Raw genomic sequence first — 23727 nt, forward strand, 5'->3', positions numbered from 1 at the left:
CTGAAATTAAAAAAAAATTCTCAGAAAAGTGACAGATTTAGTTTTGTTTGTTGGGTTGGTTGGTTTGTTCGTTTTGACAGAGTCTTGCTCTTTCGCCAGGCTGGGGTTCAGTGGTGCAATCTCAGCTCACTGCAACCTCCCCGACCCGGGTTCAAGCGATTCTCCTGCCTCAGCCTCCCAAGTAGCTTGGACTACAGACACGCACCACCATGCCCAGCTAATTTTTGTATTTTTAGTACGTCGTTTCACCGTGTTGGCCAGGATGGTCTTGATCTCTTGACCTAGTGATTCATCTGCCTTGGCCTCCCAAAGTGCTAGGATTACAGTCATGAGCCACCGTGCCTGGCCAGTCTGATTTTTTTAAATTACCAAAATAATTTATAGATGTATGTTTCTCACAGATTTTTAAAATGTCTACAAATGCCTATGTATTTCTTCATAGTATAGTAATGTTTTGGTACTGCATTAATTTGTTTTTATGGCATCAGCTATTGTCTCTACAACGTCAGAATATGGTTAGAATATTGGTTGGTACAATATAGACATTATATAGTTGATATTATTAAAGCTTACTAAAATAGGTGAAATTACCAAAAACTTACACAGCAGACATAACAAACATAACTGAATACAAAGGTTTAAGTTAATCCTCTTGCAGAGTTTACCTAATATTTATTTTAAAAATAGCATTTCCTTTTTAAATAGGGAAATTATTTTATTTCTAACAATGAAAGCATGTCTAAGAAATCAAAAAATAAATCACACTGAGTATATAAACAACATGTTCTAGAGAGTAGTAGTGAATCCTTGATGTGAAGATACTGACACAAGAGTGGTAAAAGAATACAGTTACAGACTTTGGTTGCTCATTCTTGTTATTTTCTTGGAAAAATTAATTTTGGGGGCATTCATATGCAATGAATATCCAGGAATTCCAATGCTATATACTTTGACTAAGTGTGTCTACTTTGAATTCTATAATGGGTTCCTGGAGATAAGGAAGGAACCAGCATTGCTAAGGGAAAATAACATATAAGGCACCTCTATGAGATGTCCGTAGAAAAACAAAAAGTAAAATTCTGACTTTAGGGATGCTCATTTGCTATTATCTCTGACTCCTTTGTCCTTTATCAGTATTTAATAAAAGTAATCCTCTTCAGTCTCCCTGTTCAACTATCAGATTTTTAAGAATATGGAAACAGAAATTCAGGTAAATGAGTTATTTAATCCAATGATAGACCTTTCCCAGCAGTGTACCAGTGAAGGTTTTGGGGTCTTTCAACAATGTAATTCATAAACACAAAATTAGATTCAGTATTCAATTGTTAATGAGCAGTCTCGACTTCACTGCTGTTAGACTTTCTGTGCCTTGCATGTTTGTGTTGCCTAATTTGAGGTGCTTGAGGAGAGATCCATATAGGTGCTTGAAAAAAAAAAAACAATCCCTGAGATAATTGGGCATTTTTTAAATAAAATGCATCCTTGCAATTTTATGTAGAGTAATCTTTTTTAATTATACATAAACCATGGTTTCCAACAAGATTCTTTCAGGCATAGAATAGGGACTTTTCTGTTTTTCTACTCCTTCCATCAGAATATTCTCAAACTGTAGATGCCACATCACAATTAAGTTGCTAAAGTTTATTTTTCCAATGTCTGTTGTAGTAATGTTCATAGTGAAGTTTAAAAGGACACTTGTTGGAAAAATGTACTGCATTCTTTGCCTAGTGAAATATTCTACTCCTTCCATCAGAATATTCTCAAACTGTAGATGCCACATCACAATTCTGTTGCTAAAGTTTATTTTTCCAACGTCTGTTGTAGTAATGTTCATAGTGAGGTTTAAAAGAACACTTGCTGGAAAAATGTACTGCATTCTTTGCCTAGTGAAATATGCTGAGCTTTTGTAGGCACACTTATCACTCTCTTTATCTGTATAGGTCCATTTAGTACTATTTGTTCTTTTAGTATCAAGGCTACTATAATGAGCAGCAACCATCCTTTTCAGATAACAGTACTAAAAAATAGTAGAAATAAATTAAAAAAATATTTCCTTAAAATGGCATAATGCTTCCAAACATAGATTTCAAAGTACAGGAGATATTTTGGAGAATATCCTCTGAGGAATAAACAACTATATGTTTCAAATTTGTAACCATTAAACTTAATAATATATAGTACTCAAAACTCTAGATGGTGATACGGTTTATCAGTAATAATTAGCCTGGGCGTGCTTATTAGATTAAAATGGCAATACAATGTCTACTTAAAAAATTTTAGAAAAGGATGAAGCTGATAGCTCGCCATCTCACTGGGTATGCAAAATAGAAAACAAATGGCATTGTGCTGCTTTTGTTATTCCTTGATCTTGATCTTTGTAAACCTGTCTCTGAAAGAAAACTGTGGTGAAATATTTTCTAGATTGGCCATTAATTTTTATAGCAAGAGTGACAAATATTCAGATTAATTTCAACACCTTCAGAAAATTAATTTGACTTGTGTTCACAAAAAAAATTTCTTATTCAAAAACGTTTATGTAATATACATTAGTGCTCATCTAGCACATACAGAGTATTCTGCTTGATGCTATGAAAGATAAAAATGAGCCAGACATAGGCCTTCCCTTGAGCTAGTTAGTAACCATGAAGAAAGATGAAGCATACATGGCAAACTATAATATAGTGAGAAATAAAGTAGTGTTATGAAAGAAATGTAAACAAATGAAACTTCAGGAGAGAAAGATTTCTTTTCCTTCCAGCTTGGGGGATCATTTGGAAGTCCTTTTAGCCAGGGCTTGAGAGAAAAGATGTAGGGAACAACTGAGATGATTGACACTCCACATAGAGGAAATATTAAGTGATCAAAAGTCCAGAGATGCAAACACTTTTTTTTCATGGCCCTTTATTGTAGGATATACAGATGCAAACACATAGGATGTGTTTGTGAGATGTGAAAGATTATTTCCCTCCACTCTAAGGGACATCAAGGAGAAAAATTGGAGATAAGTGAAAAGATTCTTGGTTCAAGACACTCATTTAAGATGACGACTTACTGTCTTAATTTTCTGCTGCTATGATAGAATACCACAGACCAGGTAATTTATAAAGAAAAGAAGTTTATTTGGCTCACAGTTCTGGCAGCTGGGAAGTCCAAGAACATGGCACCAATGTCTGGAAAGGCTCATCCATGGCAGAAGGCATCACATGGTGAGCAATCACAAAAGGCAGAGAGAAAGTAGGGGCAACATTCATTCTCTTATTAGGAGCCAACTCCTTACTAACCCACTTCTGCAATAATGGCATTAATTCATTCATGAGGGTGGCACACTCATGACCTAATGACTACTCAAAAGCCCTACCTAAGAATACTGTTACAATGGCAATTAAATTTCAGCATGAGTTTGGAGGAGGCATTCAAATCTTAGCACCCACTATGGAATTTTAACCTGTCTAGGAGCATTTTGGATATGTCAATCAATCTGAAGCCAACATCAAGCAAGAAAGCCTCAGAATTTAGATTTTATGGTGAAATTTAAACTGGTCTCTAGAGGTAGCGTATAACTTTGCCTGCCATCTTGAGCTCCTGCAGCTGGAATATAGGAGCAGTAGAATACTAATAGATGTGATTCTTCTCATGCCTTAGGGGAGAATACAGAGAATCCTGTTTTCACACAATGTGTCTTTTATGTGTAGGCCTTACTACCCCTTTTCTGTTGAACAACTACTTATAATGTGCTAGTGCTAAAGCTGCACACAGACACACACACACACACACACACACACACACACAAAACCCTACTTATGAGGGTGTATTGTTACTTTTGATTTTAGGTGTAGTAGTTGAGTTAGAGTTATGGGATAACTCTGACAAAACCCTACTTATGAGGGTGTATTGTTACTTTTGATTTTAGATGTAGAAGTTGAGTTAGAGTTATGGGATAACTCTGAAAATGAAAGTAAGATGTGATGCCAAAGTTAACCTGTCCACTATTTAATCTCATAATCTCATACATTATGATTGTCCCAAAGTTAAGTGTTCAACTGACTTATTATTAAATTTATTATTATTTATTAAAAAAGCAAATTTATATATTTACATACACACACATGTAAATGTATGTATACATATATACATATATATGTGTGTGTATATATGTATATATATTTATGTATGTATACATATATATGTGTATTTATGTATACATATATATGTGTATATATGTATGTATACATATATATGTGTATATATGTATGTATACATATATATGTGTATATATGTATGTATACATATATATGTGTATATATGTATGTATACATATATATGTGTATATATGTATGTATACATATATATGTGTATATATGTATGTATACATATATATGTGTATATATGTATGTATACATATATATGTGTATATATGTATGTATACATATATATGTGTATATATGTATGTATACATATATATGTGTATATATGTATGTATACATATATATGTGTATATATGTATGTATACATATATATGTGTATATATGTATGTATACATATATATGTGTATATATGTATGTATACATATATATGTGTATATATGTATGTATACATATATATGTGTATATATGTATGTATACATATATATGTGTATATATGTATGTATACATATATATGTGTATATATGTATGTGTATTTATGTATGTGTATATATGTATGTGTATTTATGTATGTGTATATATGTATGTGTATTTATGTATGTATACATATGTATGTGTATTTATGTATGTATACATATGTATGTGTATATATTTATGTATGTATACATATATGTGTATATATGTGTGTATATATATTTATATATATATATATATATAAAATCTCCAAGCAAATTCCTATGTACATAGAGTGCAGGAAGATTGATTTTGATTTTGATGACTGGTGCCTGGAAAGAGTAAGACTGTTATATCATTAAAGAGTTCAATACAGCCCACCTTTTTGATATTATACATTAAGAATAGACAAATTTAATAAATAAGTAGAATTTAGAAGAATTCGTGTCATGTGCCACAAGTTACAGTTATTTAAGTTAAAGACATTATAACCATTTAGCCACATTAATACAATTACCTCCAGCTTTATAATCTTTGTAAGCATAGAGAATTCAGTGAAATAATATTTGATCTCAAAGACCATAAAGCACTCAGATCCCATTTATTTGAACATTATTTCAAATACATACTATCCTACAGCATGATAGAAATCCAAATGCTAAGAAGAGTGCTAAGCACACATAAAACTATCTAGCACTAATTCAGTAATATACAACAACACAGTAAGCTCAAACTTTGAATAGTTAGACTCTAAAGTGTCTGGTTCTGTAAACCAATACTGTCCTACAGATGCACTCCAAAGTTTGGCCCAAAGTACTTTTCCTTTACATATTTAATTTTTAAAAATAATATATTTCTAACTATGTGATTAAAAGTAGGTTATATAAAGGAAGGAATTCTGTGGCAGTGTCCAAGCTTCAGCTGAGCAAATTTTTGCTGGCAATACCTTATTTGAATCCATTAGTTTATAAGCTCAGGAAAAATAGAAGATCCACAAAAATAATGTTGAGAACCATAAATCTTAATACAAAGCACTACATATATATAATTATTATAATTAATTGAGTCTTTTGTTTGTTTTCCTATTATCCATATAGATGACAGGCAACAAGAGATTAAGAATAAAGAACTATGCTGTTTTCTTGAGTAGTCCTCTGTCTTAAGTTTGCTAACATACATGAAACATGCACTAGATCTTAACTTGATGTTTCTCAAGGAGGAATATAGGACATTAACTCTGCATTCAAGAAAATGTCTGGAGCCTCCCATTGATATTCCAGGAGGTGCTTCTACCACACTAGCCCTCTACCCCTCAGTTACTTGAGAGGTGAGAAATTCACTTCTCCGATTATTTTCTCAACTTAGGTCTATCACAGATAAGATATATTGAACAAGTATTAATTAAACACCCACTGTTTACCTTTTATGAAACTAGAAAAATTAAGTACAGAATTAGAACACACATACAAATCAGTATATTTATTGAGTGCCACTGAGTGACAATTAGAAAGATATTTTTATATGCTATAGTGCTTATCATAGGATTCTTTCTCAGCATAGTCATTATTGTAATAGGTCCTCTTAAATAATTGATAAATGCCAAATCCTTTAATACTAAGTTTCAAGACATTTTAAACAATATTATACTTGTAATGTCAGAGGACAGGAGATTCAAAGATGTGGCAGAAAGTCCAAGGGCATTTTCTGTAGTCCAGTTAGAATACCAGAGATGGTAAACTTTTATGACTTCCAAGCTGTATTTTTAGGGTTTTGCTTTTAAAGGTAAAACTTGTCATATTAATTTTCTGCATCCAGAAGTATTTACTTCCCTTATATTTGCAATCAACTGTGTACTACAGTGCTCTTTTGAGAGCAGACGTTAAAGTATCTGTAAAGGCCTTGTTTGATTGTAAATATTATACATTGGATTGTGTTTATGCAAACTTATCTTAGCTGTGTGTAAAAGTAAGACTGGCTTTTGAACAATGCTAAGTGCTATGTTTTCCCCCAGCTTCAGTTGAGGCCGTTGATTGGAATAAATTGAGGATCAATATTGTCATGAGGCTGATAGGATATGAGTTTTTCAAAAGCTTAGGAAACTTTTTTGTCCATGAATAAGATATAAGATGATAAAACCTTATATATTCAGAGAAAAAAGGCTACTGCAGCAAATTTAATTAAAAGACAGAGGTGTTCTGTTAGGAAGAGAGTTACCAAAGCTGTTCTGACAAAGGTAACTGCCTTTTCTGAAATGGAAGAATCTGATGATACGTATTGAAGATCTTGTTGCTCTTTGCAATGAATATGTGATTTGCAATATATATGACATTTTTTTAAAGCAAGAGCTTTTACTACCTGAAGTTGCTTACAGGAGGCTGTATGAAAATGTGAAAAGAAAGTATGGGATCATTGGTTTTTAGAGCAACTTAAAAAGTCTCTCAAATCTCCTGACTTCTTAATTGAGGAAATTAATTGCAAATGATGTAAAGTCTGTTTTTCATCATCCTTTCTAAACTTACCCTGGTTTGTATTTTTATATTAAGTTAAATTATAACTGATCAATATTCTTTTATTTTTCACATGTAATGTATACTTATCATGGAAAAAAATCCCATCAGTCTAAAGTAGTAATATTTCACTTGGCAAGGGAAAGGCAAAAGGGAGCATTAGAGAGGAACCATCAAGAAAATTTTAGGATGCTCTAGGCTGGGGAATATTGGTAATGAAATGGTACTATGGAGATAAATGAAATGGTACTGTGGAGATAAATGAAGACCACCCAAATGACAACAACCTAGGTCTACTTATTCAGAGCTTGCTAGAGCAAGGGAGACACTCCCCATCACTTGCATTTGGCAGAAAATCAAAGGCAGGCAGAAACGTGCATTAGGTTTACAGTGCAGAAGGAGAAGATTTCAGGTCTGCGCTCATTGGAGGCTGTAGGGTTGGGGAAGCTGGAGGTGGGCTAACAAGAAGTGAGGCACCCTATGTAGGTTAGGGGAGCATATTTGGCTTTTCCTGGTTGGTCTTGTGTAGAAAGTGGGGGTGAAAATTAAAGAAGCTATCAGTTATTGATCAAGTCTGGCTGTTTTCAGTTGATTGCTTAAAGTTTTGGTTTGGCTTTTTTAACTGATCATTGCAGATTGTAAATTAGATTTCTACTTTTATATGGGATCTGGCCATCGTCAATTTGTATATTCAGTGTCTCACGATAGACCCAGGTCTCTGGTATGCCTATGTGTGCGTGTATTAATATTTGGATTTCAAACACGTATTTACCAAAAAATGGCATGCCTTCCGTTAATTATCGCACTTGTGGGCACAGGAGTGAAAACTGCACGCCAGTAGGCTAGTTGGCTATGATTTTACCATGTTAAACGTATCAAGCAGAATGAAACAGCAGCAGAAGCTGACACCAGTGCAGCTCTATAATAAACCACAATATTCATATCATGACTGTGCTTGTTTGTAAAAAAGAAACAAAAATGACTTCCAAAGGCCAATTTTTATAGTAAGTAATATCTCCATTTGTGTTTCATATTTCAAAGAATGTATTCAACAGGATGGCATTATTGTAATTGAATTAACTTCTCTATTTAGGTAATATTAACACTGCATTCCATTTTTCTGTCTTTTTGTTGCGAATTGCATATTTATCAATTGTATTATGTGCCTCTGTTTTTAGAAACTGGATGAAAACCACACTGACACTAATTTATCCAAATTTTAATTTCCTGAATAATGAACTTTAGCTCCCATAAGAGCTAATATTTTCAGCAAAATTTATCAGACTATTCAACTCCAATATTTATTTACTTTCCTCTGTTTTTTTTCTTCAGAAAATTTATGAATATGTCAAATATGCTAGTTCTAACATTTAACAAGATAACACATGGCGTTATAAAATGGCACTCAAAAAGAAACACAAAGTTAATCTGTAATTCTGTTCTAGTAGTTTATAGAGGTCTGGAGCCAAAGATTTGTTGTTCTCTCTCTGCACGTCACAATGCACTAAGAAAGCTTTTATTCAAAACTGAAAATCTGTCTGCATATTTATAAAAGGAATTTTCACTGGTGAATCTGTAATATAAAGTTAATGTTATTAACAGGTTCTTCTTCAAAAGTAAGTTCTCCTAAAAATGATAATTTTATTTTCCTTACCAAGTCATTTAATCAAAACATCTTAAAAGAGAATTTACTGTGGGAGACTTACTAGGCTTTAGGGAAGACAGAAAAAAAAACTAAAAAAGAATCACTGCCTACAAAGTTACCAAATAACAAAGTATGCTTAAATAAAAAGAAAAATAGCACTATATTGAAAATGTCCAATAAAGTCAACCTTTGCTTCTCAGTTATAGTCCATTGTAAGACACAAAGCATAATTTGTTTTTCATCCCATGCCAGATCCTGATGTAAGTTATCAAAATGTCCCTAACTTTAGAATTCAACTGCTGCTAAGAATAAAACTTTTCTTCCAATGGATCTAAATAAGGAAAAGGAACATCTTCATTTCTGTCTATTTCATATACTCTAAGAATCCCCTCTACTTGGGAAAGATATATTAGTGTATTAAATTGTCAGCAAAAAAATATTTGGAAGAAAATAGTGGTATGGGTCAAAAGAATAGATCCTTAGATCATATATTTAAATCAGAAAAGAAATGCACTTGAGGAAAAGAAAAAAAAAAGGAGAGTAGAGTGAGATGTTTCTCATAACTAGATAAGGATGAGAATTCCACCAATGTGCTACAAAATATCCTATGTAATTTCCTTACTGTGTTTTACCTGCTGTATAACTTGCTTTAATTAAATGTAGTCTCATCATTGACACATCATCTGAAAGCTTAGAAAACATTCCACTGGAGATCTCATCTGGGGTTAGAATAACAATTAAAACTCACTGGCACTCATAGAATTTCTCTCATAAATAACTCTAAATATCAGGCATTCTTGATTTTTCCAGCTTGTGAACAGATTTTTCTTTTTTAAGTAGAGAGAAATTTCTGTTGCAAGTGAATCATTAAACCTTGGGAACAAGCAGAGTAATTATAAAATACTTCAGGAAGTCTATCAAACTGTCTAGGGATTCCCCAAGGTGCTATAAGTCTGACAAATTTGGCATTTTTTACTAGTCTGAGGAGAGACTGGACAGTCCCCAATACATGTACTATAATTAATGTTTTCGTTAAGTACCTTCGTTTCCTTAAAACTTAATCTAAGTTGGCCGGGCATGGTGGCTCATGCCTGTAATCCCAGCACTTTGGGAGGCCGAGGCGGGCGGATCACCTGAGGTCAGGAGTTCGAGACCAGCCTGACCAACATGGTGAAACCCCATCTCTACTAAAAACACAAAAATTAGTCAGGAGCGGTGGCAGGCACCTGTAATCCCAGCTACTCGGGAGGCTGAGGCAGGAGAATCGCTTGAACCTGGGAGGCAGAGGTTGCAGTGAGCTGAGATCGTGCCACTGCATTCCAGCCTAAGTGACAGAGCGAGACTCCATCTCAAAAAAATAAATAAATAAATAAACAAAACTTAACCTAAGTTGTTAACTGTGAGCTAACCAAATCAAATTGCATTCATTTTCCTTTTTCATCTCTTTGACATGATGAATTTATTTTTATATCAGTTTTCTTAAAATGCATTCGTTCATATTGACTATTATGACAGGGGTTAAGCTAAACACTTAATTGACTCCTGAGTTTCCTTTGGAAGTTCAGGTCCAGCCCTTAATGAGATTATGATCCTGTTGTAACTGAAAAATCAAAGTAAATGGGTATGGATTCTTGGCTTAAGAAAAGATAATTTTGATGACTAGTGGCTCTGCGAGGAAAAACTTTCTTTCCTCTTTTTCCAAATGTCTTCTCCCTAAGACTCTCTGAAATTCTTCTGGTCTGTTATAAAATACAATCTGAGTATGAAAATAGCTAATATATGAAAGAACCTTAGTACTGTGCTTGCAATACACTAAATAAATACTGCATAAATATTAGCTATTATTAGTAGAAAGTGGGGCTGTTCGCTGTGGAAAAGAGGCTTCCTTTTTCCTCTGTCATTCAGTACAAACGTGGAAAGCCCTGGAATATATAATCTGTAATGTTTATTCCTATTTTATGAGTTTCAGTAACAGCTACTTCAAAGCCATACATATAATACTTCTGCACAAACCCCTTTTCTTAGAGCCACTTTACTTATTTTTACGACAGAAAAATAGATGTGAAATACATTTTTTGACAGATAGTCTTTTGCCAGCACAATAAAAATATGAACCAGGAAGCTAAGTAAAGTTTTGTTTTGTTTCATTTTCTCTTTGCCCTCTGAATTCCTTTACTTGGTCATGCCTCTTTGGTTCATCTAAACCCCAGGTATGTCCTCTCTACCCACCGACTCTCGATACAGAGTCTTTCCACATACAAACATATGCTCTTCATTGATCTATACCTTTGTTTCTCCAAATCTTTAAAATTGGATATTTTGGTGACTTTAAAGATTCTCAAGCATATTCATATTTCCCCATGTCTTATTTGCACAGCTGTTTCTGCGCTAATGCTTCACTTGGTATCAAGGTATCAAAGCTGAGTCAGCCCTAGAATCTGTCTTTGAAGTCCAGGGTCTGTGAGGAACTAAAAGTTTCATGTAAGTATGATGAAACATGTGAAAGCATCGTGCACACATTACTGTGGTAACAAAGAAAGGATGAGCAATTCTACCTCAGAAAGTTGGTGCTAAAACCATCATTCACATGAGGAATATTTGCCCCTACATTTGAAAAATGAATCGGAGCCTTGTATGGAAAGACATCCCAGATGGAGAGCACAACATTTTCAGAGACATTTGCTCAGGAACCACAGTAGTGGAGAACTGTGGCATTGCTGGAGAGAGGAAGAGTAGGAGAGATGGCTGGAAAGAAGAAAGGCGATGGAATAAGGAGAGGACCTCACATCAACCTTCCAGCTGTAGGGTTCATTTTATCCTCATTTCACAGAAGAGGAAAATGAGGTCCATAGAGTAAAAAACGACATAGGAAATAAACAGCAAGAGCTCAAAGTCAAGACCAGATCTTCTCCTAAAACCCATCGTGCTTGCTTTCTGCTGCAATATATGACTAGTTGGATTTTTTTTAATCAAAGTATTAAATCCCTAATTTAGATTCAAGAAATTAGATTTCAGTATGGTATGTGCTAAAGGGATCTTTTAGACAGAGCTCCTTTGAGAGGTGTCCCAATTACCTCACAAACAAGTATTTTCCTGAATGTATATTGTTGCTTTTCTCATCCTAAAGAAGTTGGAGGTGAGGAGAAAGAGAAGAAAGAAGAAGAAAAAAAAAAAACTAACACTGATTGGGTGTCTTCTGTGAGCTACAGATTATTTTATATGTTATATTTTATAGGTATTTTGTATACTATATTATTTGAATCCTCACAACCATTTTGTGAGTTAAATATTATTGCCACTTTTAAAGATGAGGACTCTGAAATTCAGATATAAAAAAACTTGCCCAACTGCCTTGTCCAGTCATGCAGCTAGTTAATGGTAAACCTCAAGTTAGAACAGGAGTTAGCTTGACCCAGACCCAGATCATCTCATTCCTTTATCTAACTGTGCTCCTTGTGAATGGGCTCAACATTAAACTCAAAACAAGGCCAATCAGTTAACTAAAACATTGATGAAGGAAATGTTTTAGAGCAATGTCTCTAAGAAAGGACATACCTTGGCAAAGGAAGTAACATGGCATTTTCGGCTTAATCAAATAATAACCTTGTATTTGAAATAACACTTGGACTTCAAATTTGGACTCCAAACAGAAAGAATGATGAGATCAGGGAACTATATGAATGACAAAATAGACCATGAAGCAGCATGAAGAAGAAACAAGGAGTGAATGGGAAGAGATACACTACACAAAATGGGGGATATAGAGTTTCTTGTTCTCAAGGGCTTTATTTGCCCATTCGAATCATATCTGTCTTATAAGTATGCCCAAAATCTGTGACTTCATACATTAGCCCCTCCTTATTGATGGGGAATATCTTCCACGACCCCTAATGAATGCCAGAAACCATAGATAGTACCAAACTCTAAATATAATGTTTTTTCTATGCATACTTAGTTATGGTAAAGGTCAATTTGTAAATTAGGCACAATAATAGATTAGCAACGACAACTAATAATTAAATAGAGCAATTCTAACAATAATAAAGTAATAAAAACTGTAATAAAAAGGTATGTGAACATAATCTCTGTCTTTCTCTCAAAATATCATATTGTACTGTTCTCACCTATTTTTGGACCACAGTTAACCATGAGTAACAGCTATTGTAGAAGATAAAACTGCAGGTTAAGAGGAACTACTGTACTTACCAAAGGATCATTGTCTCATATAGTCACATTGTCTCCCAGAATCCCAAATAGCTAAACGTTTACAAATTATGTTTGTTGACCAACCTAAATTCTAGAACACATTGATACATTAGCAGAAGAGGGTAATTAACTCAAGCTCCTGGCCTAGAAAACGTCAAGGTTTGAGAGACTGCTCACCATCAAGAGAGGGCTTCAATACTGGTCTGAGCCTTGTCTAGTCACCTTCACAGATCTTGGACACTCAAGTTAACTCTTCAGTATTTAGCTACTTTTATCCAGGGCACTCATAATAATGATCATATGCAATCCTCTATATTTGTATTCTAAGTGGTGTGTCTTGCTGAAGACAGAAACATTTAACTACTTGACTATATGTATATAATGGATTACTTAGAATAAAAACAAAAAAGTTTGGCATTATAGTTTTTTATTGGCCAGAAATTTTGCTGGTAGTTGAGCTACATGTCACTTAGATTAAGAAGTCATTGTGATAATTTTTATTATTAATAATAATAGTGTAAATTATAAGCATAGTTTATTAAACATGTGCAGATGTTGTTCTGGACCAGGGCAAGATAGTAAATATTTTGGCTTTGTGGGCCATGTGCTATCTGTTGCAACTACTTAGCTTTCCTGGCACAAAAGCAATCAAACAATATGACACTGAATAGACATAGCTGTATTCCAATAAGACTTTATTCATGAACAGTGAAATTTAGATTTCATATAAGCTTCAAGTCATGAAATATTGTTCTTTTTAATTTTTTCAACTGTTTAGAAATGTAAAAACTATTCTTAACGCATGAGCCATACAAAAAGAAGGAGTGGGCTAGATTTACATGAGGGCTTTAGTTTTACAATGCTTGCTCTAGACAGTCACCTTTCTCATCATCAACTTTGTCATCTATTTCAAGACTTCTCATCCATATTGCATAGATAAGGAAACTAAACATAGGAACATCAAACTGACTTAAACATCACATAGCAAGCGATTGCAAAACTTTGGCAATTTTCTTGACTTCCCTGAATCTCAATTTCTTTATATGTACACTGGGGAGAAATACGTTTATAGAGATATTATGGGATTTAGTGAAATATTCATTTATTCAATTATTATTAAGTTCTTTCTAGTTGCAGAGTCTTCCCTGAAATACTAAAGTTCAGAAAATATACAGTGTAAAAGGTAGATCTTGACCCTGCCCAGATGAGGTTTAGAATTAAGTTTGTAAGACATAAGGTAAGTATGAAGTTATAATTAATATGATAGAAGCGCTGATGGAAAGAAAAACTGTGGGCCAAAGGGAGAATATAGCACAAGTGCATATTCCAAGTTCAGGAAAAACCTCCTGGAAAACAGTGGTGTCAAACAGGGCTGTGAAATGATTCACCGAACTGAAGACATGGGGGAAAAAAAAACAAACAAACGAACAAACAACATTTCAGGCAAAGGCAATGCTATGGGTAAATTCCAGAAGTGACAAGGAGTTGGCCCATTAAGAAACTGAAAGAAGTTCACATGACTGGAACACAAACTTCAAGACATAAATATAAAGCTGGATTCAAGAAATAACGCTAGAGAAGTAAGAAGCCATATAAAGACATGTTCATAAGTCTAGAAGTGATCTTAAGAACAAAGGAAAGTTCCTGAAAAGTTGTGAGCAATGAGGGCATATTATTAGACTTGCATTTTGAAAAGGTCATTCTGCTGCAATTTGAAGAATGGATTAGAGAGTGGCAAGAATGAGTCCAGGGAGGCCAGTTCAAAAGTAGATGCTACTATGATCCAGATGAATAATGGTAGTGGCTCAGATTAGAGTAGTGGCAGAAGAAACTAAGAGAAGCAGTCAGATTCAAGAAATATTAAGTTATTTGATTCATTTAAAAATATTTATTGCATCCATTTTTCTGGGAATATAATAATAAACAGACCAAACTGCCGAGTTGTCAGTATGATGGACAAAGTAGAGACGGAGATTATTTCTGACTGGTAACATGAACTAGGATGAGAAAAAAAAAAACAAGAAGAAAAATAATTTGGTGTGTTTTGATTAAAAACCCTGACTAAAATTTCTCATCATTATTTCTTATGGTTCTTTAGAGGGATACATTTCCCTCCCCCCAAAGCCATTTAGGGCCAGAAACAAAAATAAAAAGAGAGTGAGTTTATGGCTCTCTAAAACAGCTTTACTATTCTTTCAGCTTTCTCCTACCTTTTATACCCAGAGAATAAAAAAAAAAAAAATGGAAGAGAAGAAATATATGACTGCTGTTGCAGAAGAAGTGCAGATATCACTGATATGAACAGATATCAATGGAAAACTACTCATGTACATTGTCTCCCCTAAACCTGATAATAGACATTTTCTTCAAGGTAGAAGATGCTGTACTTTACAACAGCTTACATGGAGTTTGTATACACTAATTGAGTATGCTATTGAGAGTTGGGTTCTTGGGGTGACTCTTATCATTCAAGGGGACTCTATCAAGGTATCAAGATCTCCACCAGTTCTACAGGGGCCATCGTACCTCATGTTTCTGTATCCTGGAACCCTTTAAAATGGTTAATACCACAAATATTTTCCTCAGAATTATATTGCACTCATCAAAATAATTCAAATTTGGAATATTTTTAGCTCGTGATTATTCTGCCTTCAGTTTGAATAGTTTCCATAGATAAACATATCATGCTATGTGTGTATGTCATTGGACTGACACCTCCTGTTTTATACTCTTTACATACAGCAAAACATATTTATAAATGATATTTCCAGAATACTCCAAAGCCAAAGGTGAGGTCATTACAAAGTATCCTAGTTAGGTGAACAGAGACACATAGCAAATGGAGATCTTTGTTTAAAAAGTATACTTTGTTTACAAAGTATAAAATAGTAAGTTTAATTCTTGACCCATTCCATTGGTAGCGCCTGTGAAGACCTCAGCCCCCAGGGGACATGTCCACCAGTTGCGTAGGCTTATATGAACCTAAAGAAAGCGTATTACGCTGGAAATAATAGACTTGGCAATCATTCTCTTTGTATATGATATTTGAAACTATGGCAGTTGATGGAAGTACCTAGTGAAATTGTCTGGAGAAGTATCAGCATTTCACAAACCTCAGCAAATCAAACTGAAGAAGAGCAGCTAAAAAGTAGAACATAAGTAAAGATCTGGCATTCACAAAACCCCCAAACAGCCTGTTTCAAGAACGTATATTGTGCCAAAGCCTGGCTCTGTAAAGGGCCACTGGGTTCAGGAAAGCAGTCAATGGTGATCTTGACAAAAATGATGTCTGTAGTGAGGTTGGAAGTTTGATGCAGTGAGTACAGGTCTAAGTGTGATGCGAGGAAATCAAGACTGTGAATACAAAAGCTCTTTCAAGAAAATGGGCCCACAGAAAATAGGGAAAAGACAAAATAATTTTTGGCTGGTTTTCTTGTATTTTTTTTAAGATGGAAGATAACCTGAACATGTTCCAGTAGTGATAGAAAAGAATTAGCAGGAAGAGATATTAAAGGCTTGGGGAGAGATAGATAACTGAGAGAAATCACCGGTAAATCAGGAAGGGAAGGAATCTAGGAAAGAAACAGAAGGTCTGTTTTTGAAATGATACCATCTCTGTTTGCTTACATGGAAAGAGCAGGAAAGTAGGAAAGTATGAAGGTATGGTATGTACCTGTAGGCTAGATGTCAGACAGTTGAGACATCTCCCTCTGAAGATTTTTATTGTGAAGTAGCTAGAAGTTAGGGGAAAAGAATAAGAGGGTTGATTTACATAATCATTTTGAAGAATGGAATATTGAACGCAAAAAAGGCCAGATAGACATTAATGATTATCAATTAATAGCGGTATTTAATCTACTTATTTCTAAAATAATGAAGTTTCTACAAGTGTCTAGGAACTGTTTTCTTCTCTGTAACTATTTCTACAGGATGAGTAAGTAGTTTCTATTATATATAAATATTTATATATGTGTAAATACGTATTCAGATATATATATATACACATATATAGGCACATATACACATATAGACACTTTAAATGCACAATGAGGGTATGGAAGAATATATATGTCTATATTTTGAGATGTGCTTATATATGTATATATATCTACATAGAAAGACATATGTACATATAAATTTACACATATACATATATATGAAAAACTGTGAAATATATTCATATGCATTCTTTTGTACCCTCACCATTCTTTTGAAGTATGTTATTTATTGCACACTCTGTATAGTACTCTCTCTAAAAACAGATTTAATCTACATGTAGTTGATCAGGGAAAATTATCCCATCATTTTGTTATTTTGTTGTTCAAGAATAAATATAGCCCAGAATTATTCTTGATGTTGCTATGAATTCTATGAACCTTCATATAATTCCATCCAGATGTTGAATTTTAGCATTTACCTCCAAAATACAAAGATATTGTTCAAGTTATTACTGGTGTAGCTGTTAATGAATTATTTCAAATTTACCTTTGCTCGGTGCTAAAAAGAAAATATTTCCTATGCATGAGAAATGATAGAAAGACCAGAGCCGCTTTAGAATAATCACTAGGGGAGAAAGGCATCTAAGATTATATATATTATTTTAATTAAGGGTGCTTGAAATTCTATATGGCTTTCTTTGAATAATAAGCATCTACAGATGAGGTATGATTAGAAAATGCAATCTCTTTTACAGGTTCAATTAAATCAACTTCATTTCAATAATGTTGAATGATTAGAGAAAATTTTATCAGAATCGTACTTTGAGTCATCATTCAAAGAATCAATTTTTTTAAAATTCTGCAATGTGGTTTACTAGATAATGACAACAGGACTTAAAATTAATGGAAGAAGTTTGAGGGCAATTAAATTATATGTCTTAATCAGTCTGATTTAATATGACTAGTGGATAGAATTTTCATTTATTCACAAAAGACAACCATCTGAGCCAGTCAAGCTTATAATTAGTGAGAAATAACCCTCAGAAATTAGTGTGCATCTCATATGTGAAGAAGAGTTTACTCAAATAATACATAACCTATTTACCTTGAATTTTTCATTTCTTATAAAATGTATTTTTATTTTAAGCCATTAAACTGTGTAGTATTTGAATGAGATTATTCTTGTTGCTGTTTTGTGTTCCAAGCTAAACCAGAGTAACTAGTTATGAGGAGATATAAAGTATTGCAGGATGACATGTTATATACTTATTTGTTATCAAAATACAAAGCTTTCAGTTTTTAAAAAAATGAGATTAGTGTTTATTTTTAAATCTATTTTAGATGTAATTTTAATATGCATTTATCTCTAGGCAGATAAAATATAGTATTCAACTTTATCCAAGTGTCTTTCATTATAGAGAAATATACATTTGCAAAAGGTTTACTTCTTCAAAAGTTGCACTATCCATATATTCTTTAAGGAGAAGCATATGATATGATCTATTTGTCATAATGATAAGTTATATAAGATATTGTATTGAGATATTATTTAAATTTATAGAGAAATGCTGATAAATATTAAAATGTGTTATGCCTAGATAAGAAGGTATAGTTAAGAAATAAAAACAATATTTGATGCTATCAAATCATTATATCATAAATATGTAAAAACTAGTTAAAAGCTTTGATTTAAATTATGTCCTTTCTTCCCTATTGACATTTCAATGAGATTAATAAGTTACATTTATATCATCCGTCTGCATGGCAATATTAAAATACACTTTCAATCTTTCATGTAATCCATGTAAAAGGGGTACACAAAACATTAGACGGTAGTCCTTGTCTCTTCCTTGCTGAGATGAAGTGAAGGTTTTAAAGCAGGAAATCTTGGAATGAGACAAGAAGGTAAAGTTTAAAAAGAACAGGTGAGGAGAGGACCCATTTTGTACATACAACTGATACATAGTCAGAAAGGTTTGAACTGCCTGAAATCCTAGTAACTGTAATAAAGGAAAAAGTACTATCCTCTCTGGCCCAGCAGGAAGGGGTCAACCAAAGACGGTGATTATTTCTCTAACACAGTTTTATATATGTGTGCCAGTGCTTACTATACTTCCATCATGTATAGATGCATCAGAAGGTTCTGTCTGTGGGGAACAGGAACACATCAGACAATGAATCCATCAAGACCTTGATTTTGGACTTCTCAGTCTCCAAAACTGTTAGAAATAGGTGTTTGTTGTTCATAAGCCACCAAGTTTATGGTATGTTTGTTATAAGCAACCTGAACAGGCTAAGACATGGACTCTAAAATATTCTGGAGCTCCAAATTACTATGAGGGTTAGAAATCCAACAGACCAATATTGTATGGAGCTACTGAGATTTGGGGGGTTAGATTGCTTTTGCAGCATAATGAAGTCTGTAACTCTAGCTGATGACCTAACTGTAGTAAAGTCTTAAAATCTGTGCCCTTAATCTAAATGCTGTAATAGTAGCTGTGATTTAATAGGAAAACAATCTAGACACAATTTAATAATAATTTCATTTCTCTTTCAGCCTGAAATTGGAAGTCAAACTGTGATTTTATTTTCATATAAAAACTCTGAATTAGTAGATTTTCCTGCAAAGTGGTAATAACAGGGTTAATGTTCAAAGCTAAATAATCACAGTGTTATGGTGAATTGACAAAATGCTTAGCAGTTCAAGACTACAACAATTTAAAATAAGCTGACTTTGCCAGTTTTTACTTGCCCACCCAACAGTTATTTTTTCATCAACAGTTCTGAACTCAATTCATTTTAAGTGTACTATTGTTTTTCTTTAGGAAAAAGAATAAAATATTCATGACAGTCTGTGGTGATTCATACATTTTTGTTACTTAGAAATATCTAACTTCATTAATTCTTCAGAATGTCTTTTACTGCCCTGAAACACAAATAGTATGATAGTGTGTCTGGGGAATTGGCTGCTGAAATGTATTTAAAAGAATTCCATGCCTTCTGATATACAGTGTTTTGAGAAAGAGTTTAAAATTTTAGAATATCAAGTACAAATGATGTTATTTAATAATTGATAAAGGCAGTTCCTACACAACTTTGACATTCTATCATTCTATTCAGATCAGACTTTTAAAAAATAAGTAGTTTCTTTATTCTTTTTTGTTTGTTTGTTTTTTCTTACCACCCCAAATGCAAAGCCTCATTTTTTTTAATACTTTAAGTTCTGGGATACATGTGCAGAATGTGCAGATTTGTTACATAGGTATACACGTGCCATGGTGGTTTGCTACACCCATCAACCCATCATCTACATTAGGTATTTCTCCTAATGCTACCCCTTCTCTAGCCCCCCACTCCCCAATAGGCCCTGGTGTGTGATGTTCCCCATCCTATGTTCATGTGTTCTCATTGTTCAACTCCCACTTATGAGTGAGAACATGCAGTGTTTGGTTTTCTATTCCTGTATTAGTTTGCTGAGAATGATGGTTTCCAGCTTCACCCATGTTTCTACAAAGGACATGAACTCATCCCTTTTTATGGCTGCATAGTATTCCATGGTGTATATGTGCCACATTTTCTTTATCCAGTGTATTATTGATGGGCATTTGAGTTGGTTCCAAGTCTTTGCTATTGTGAATAGTGCTGCAATAAACATACGTGTGCATGTGTCTTTATAGTAGAATGATTTATAATCCTTTGGGTATATACCCAGTTATGGGATTGCTGGGTCAAATGGTATTTCTGGTTCTAGATCCTTGAGGAATCGCCACACTGTCTTCCACAATGGTTGAACTAATTTATGCTCCCACCAACAGTGTAAAAGCATCCCTATTTCTCCACATCCTCTCCAGCATCTGTTGTTTCCTGACTTTTTAATGATCACCATTCCAACTGGCAGGAGATGGTGTCTCATTGTGGTTGTGATTTGCATTTCTCTAATGACCAGTGTTGATGAGCTTTTTTTCATTTGTTTTTTGGCCACATAATGTCTTCTTTTGAGAAGTGTCTGTTCATATCCTTTGCCCACTTTTTGATGGGATTGTTTCTTTTTTCTTGTACATTTGTTTAAGTTCTTTGTAGATTCTGGATATTAGCCCTTTGTCAGATGAGTAGATTGCAAAAACGTTCTCCAATTCTGTAGGTTGCCTGTTCACTCTGATGATAGTTTATTTTGCTGTGCAGAAGCTCTTTAGTTTAATTAGATCCCATTTGTCAATTTTGGCTTTTGTTGCCATTGCTTTTGGTGTTTTAGTCCCTATTTAATCAATGGTGTTGGGAAAACTGGCTAGCCATGTTCAAAAAACTGAAACTGGACCCCTTCCTTACACCTTATACAGAAATTAACTCAAGATGAATTAAAGACTTAAACGTAAGACCTAAAACCATAAAAACCCTAGAAGAAAACCTAGGCAATACCATTCAGGACATAGCCATGGGCAAAGACTTCATGACTATTTTCTCTTTTCTAAATTATCTATTCTCATTTAAAATAAGTACTAATGTTTGAGAAAGATCAGATTTTCCCTAATATTCTTTACATTACCATTAACAGTAATAATGTATTAATCATACGTGGAACCTTTCTTTAGTGTTACTCTTACATCATCTCTTATGGAGTAAAATAACAGAAGCCTAAAGAAGTAGTTTTATGTCCAAGGCCACAAGGATGTGGACAGATCCAGGGTTAAAATCCAGATAAACTGGCTGCTACACCATTGTTCACTCTGCTCTATTCTAGTAGAAGAGTTCAAGAGTTCATCCTACTCTGTTCAGTTGTTTATGGACTCTCTTTAGTAGGTGTTTAAAATGCTTAAAACAATAGCAGTGTCTTTAAAATCTCATATCTTTCTTTGGTCTATCTCTAATTGGTACATATATGCATAGTAAATACCAAAATTACCAACATACTATACCTTGAATATTTTTTGCATAGACATTGTAAATGTTATTATTAGATGTCTTTATTATTTCTCCATAATCCTTGTTACCTGATGATAATTGATCAAAGAATGTTAGGACGTCAAAAATTAAACAAATGACTATAAGATGGACACTCAAGGCTGGGCATGGTGGCTCACACCTGTAACCCCAGCACTTTTGGAGGCTGAGGAGAGAAGACTACCCGAGGTGAGGTGTTCGAGACCAGCCTGGTCAACATGGTGAAACCTGGTCTCTACTAAAAATACAAAAATTAGCCAGGCATAGTGGCACATGCTGTAATCCCAGCTACTCAGAAGACTGAGGCACAAGAATCACTTGAACCTGGGAGGCGGAGGTTGCAGTGAGCCAAGATTGTGCCACTGCACTCCAGCCTGGGTGACAGAGCAAGACTCTGTCAAAATAAAAAATAATTAAAAAATAAAAAAAGATGGACCCTTAAATGTTTGATGATATGGAAATTACTATCTTTACAAATCCTTCATTCATTCATTCAGTAACTGTTTATTTAAACCTACTGTAAGGAATGAGCTGTGATTAGGTGCTGTGTATAGAGTCATGAACAAATAGGCAAGACAGCCACACTCAAATAACATATATAATATGTTACATATATCATATGTAATATTATATATGATATATGTAATTTATTGGAATACATAAGGAATACATGTTATATATAATATATAATATATTGGAATACATATATAATATATGTATATAATATATTGGAATACATATATATGTATATAATATATAATATTGGAATACATATATAATATATGTATATAATATATATAATATATATTATGTTATTACACATATAAGATATATTACATATATAATATACAGATATATATGTGTATATAATATATATGTATATGTGTGTGTGTATATGTATACATATACACACACACTAACAAAAAGTCTATGAAACTAAAAAGCCGACTGCTCTAAGAGATAAAAATGTTGGGGGAAGTCGAGAGAAATTCTATTTCCCTGTGTTTGACACGGAAGCTTGACTAAGAAGCTCAAAATTAAGCTGAGGGTTAAAGGATGAGAATGAGTCAGCTCTACAAAGAACTGGAGGCAGAGCACTTCCATTAGTGGGAAAAGTACATGCAAATTCATATAGGCCAAAAAAGTCTTAGAATGTCTGGAACATAAAAGTGATTTAGAGGGAAAGTGGCTCAAAGTGAGAGTGAAGACCAGATTGTTATAGGCCTCAGGATGCTGGCTGGTATTTGAGGGCAATGGGAAGCCAAGTTTTAAGAGCAAAGTTATATGATCTAATCTAAGTTTCAAAAACAGATAAGTCATCCTGGCTGTATATAAAGAATGTTTTGGAGGAGTCTAATTTTAGTAACTTTGGAGACTGACTTAATATAGACTTACTTTCTGGTCCATAGTTATAGAATAATGGATACATTTAAAGCTAAACAAACAAATAAGTAGCATGACTGGAAAAAGAAAGGTATTCCCTGATGTCAGAAAGAATGAATAATACCAAACCTGAGCTGTAATTTACTAATCTGGTGCTACAGTTGTCCAGAAAATTAGATTTGGCTTTAGGCTCTAAGTTCAGGCCCTAGAATTTGAATACCCACTTAGGGATAAAATGACATAGCCTTTGAATTGCATGATGAAATTTGCACAGAGAACAGCCTTAGAAAGACGAGTATCTTGGCCTCAAGTGATCCTCCTGCCTCCTGCCGTAGTCTCCCAAAGCACTTCGATTACAGGTGTGAGGCATGGCGCAGCCACATTATCCTTTTGAGGCAGGGCTACAAGCACTGATTCCTACATCTGCTATGACCTGGGCACAAGATTTTGAATCCTTCACTAAATTATTCTCTCAATTTCCTCTAAGAACGATTCAGCCTTAGAACAAGTCACAA

At 33.8% G+C, this 23727-nt stretch overlaps 1 protein-coding gene across 21 annotated transcripts in view, besides 1 other annotated feature; it reads left to right on the forward strand.

Moving 5' to 3' along the window:
* NAALADL2 (N-acetylated alpha-linked acidic dipeptidase like 2) overlaps positions 1–23727 on the forward strand; it is a 1369567-nt gene that overhangs the window by 1252663 nt on the left and 93177 nt on the right. The gene's annotated exons all lie outside the window — the stretch shown is intronic.
* Positions 10088–10257: an enhancer, noted in NCBI's record as "experimental_66754 CRE fragment used in MPRA reporter constructs". NCBI's record gives its function as "activates a minimal promoter by MPRAs in K562 erythroleukemia cells, with activity observed for both the introgressed and non-introgressed 3:175421605 variant alleles {active_cell/tissue: K562}" and the evidence as "EXISTENCE:reporter gene assay evidence [ECO:0000049][PMID:34662402]".

The sequence above is a fragment of the Homo sapiens genome, chromosome 3 (assembly GCF_000001405.40).
Source record: "Homo sapiens chromosome 3, GRCh38.p14 Primary Assembly".
NCBI lineage: Eukaryota > Metazoa > Chordata > Mammalia > Primates > Hominidae > Homo > Homo sapiens.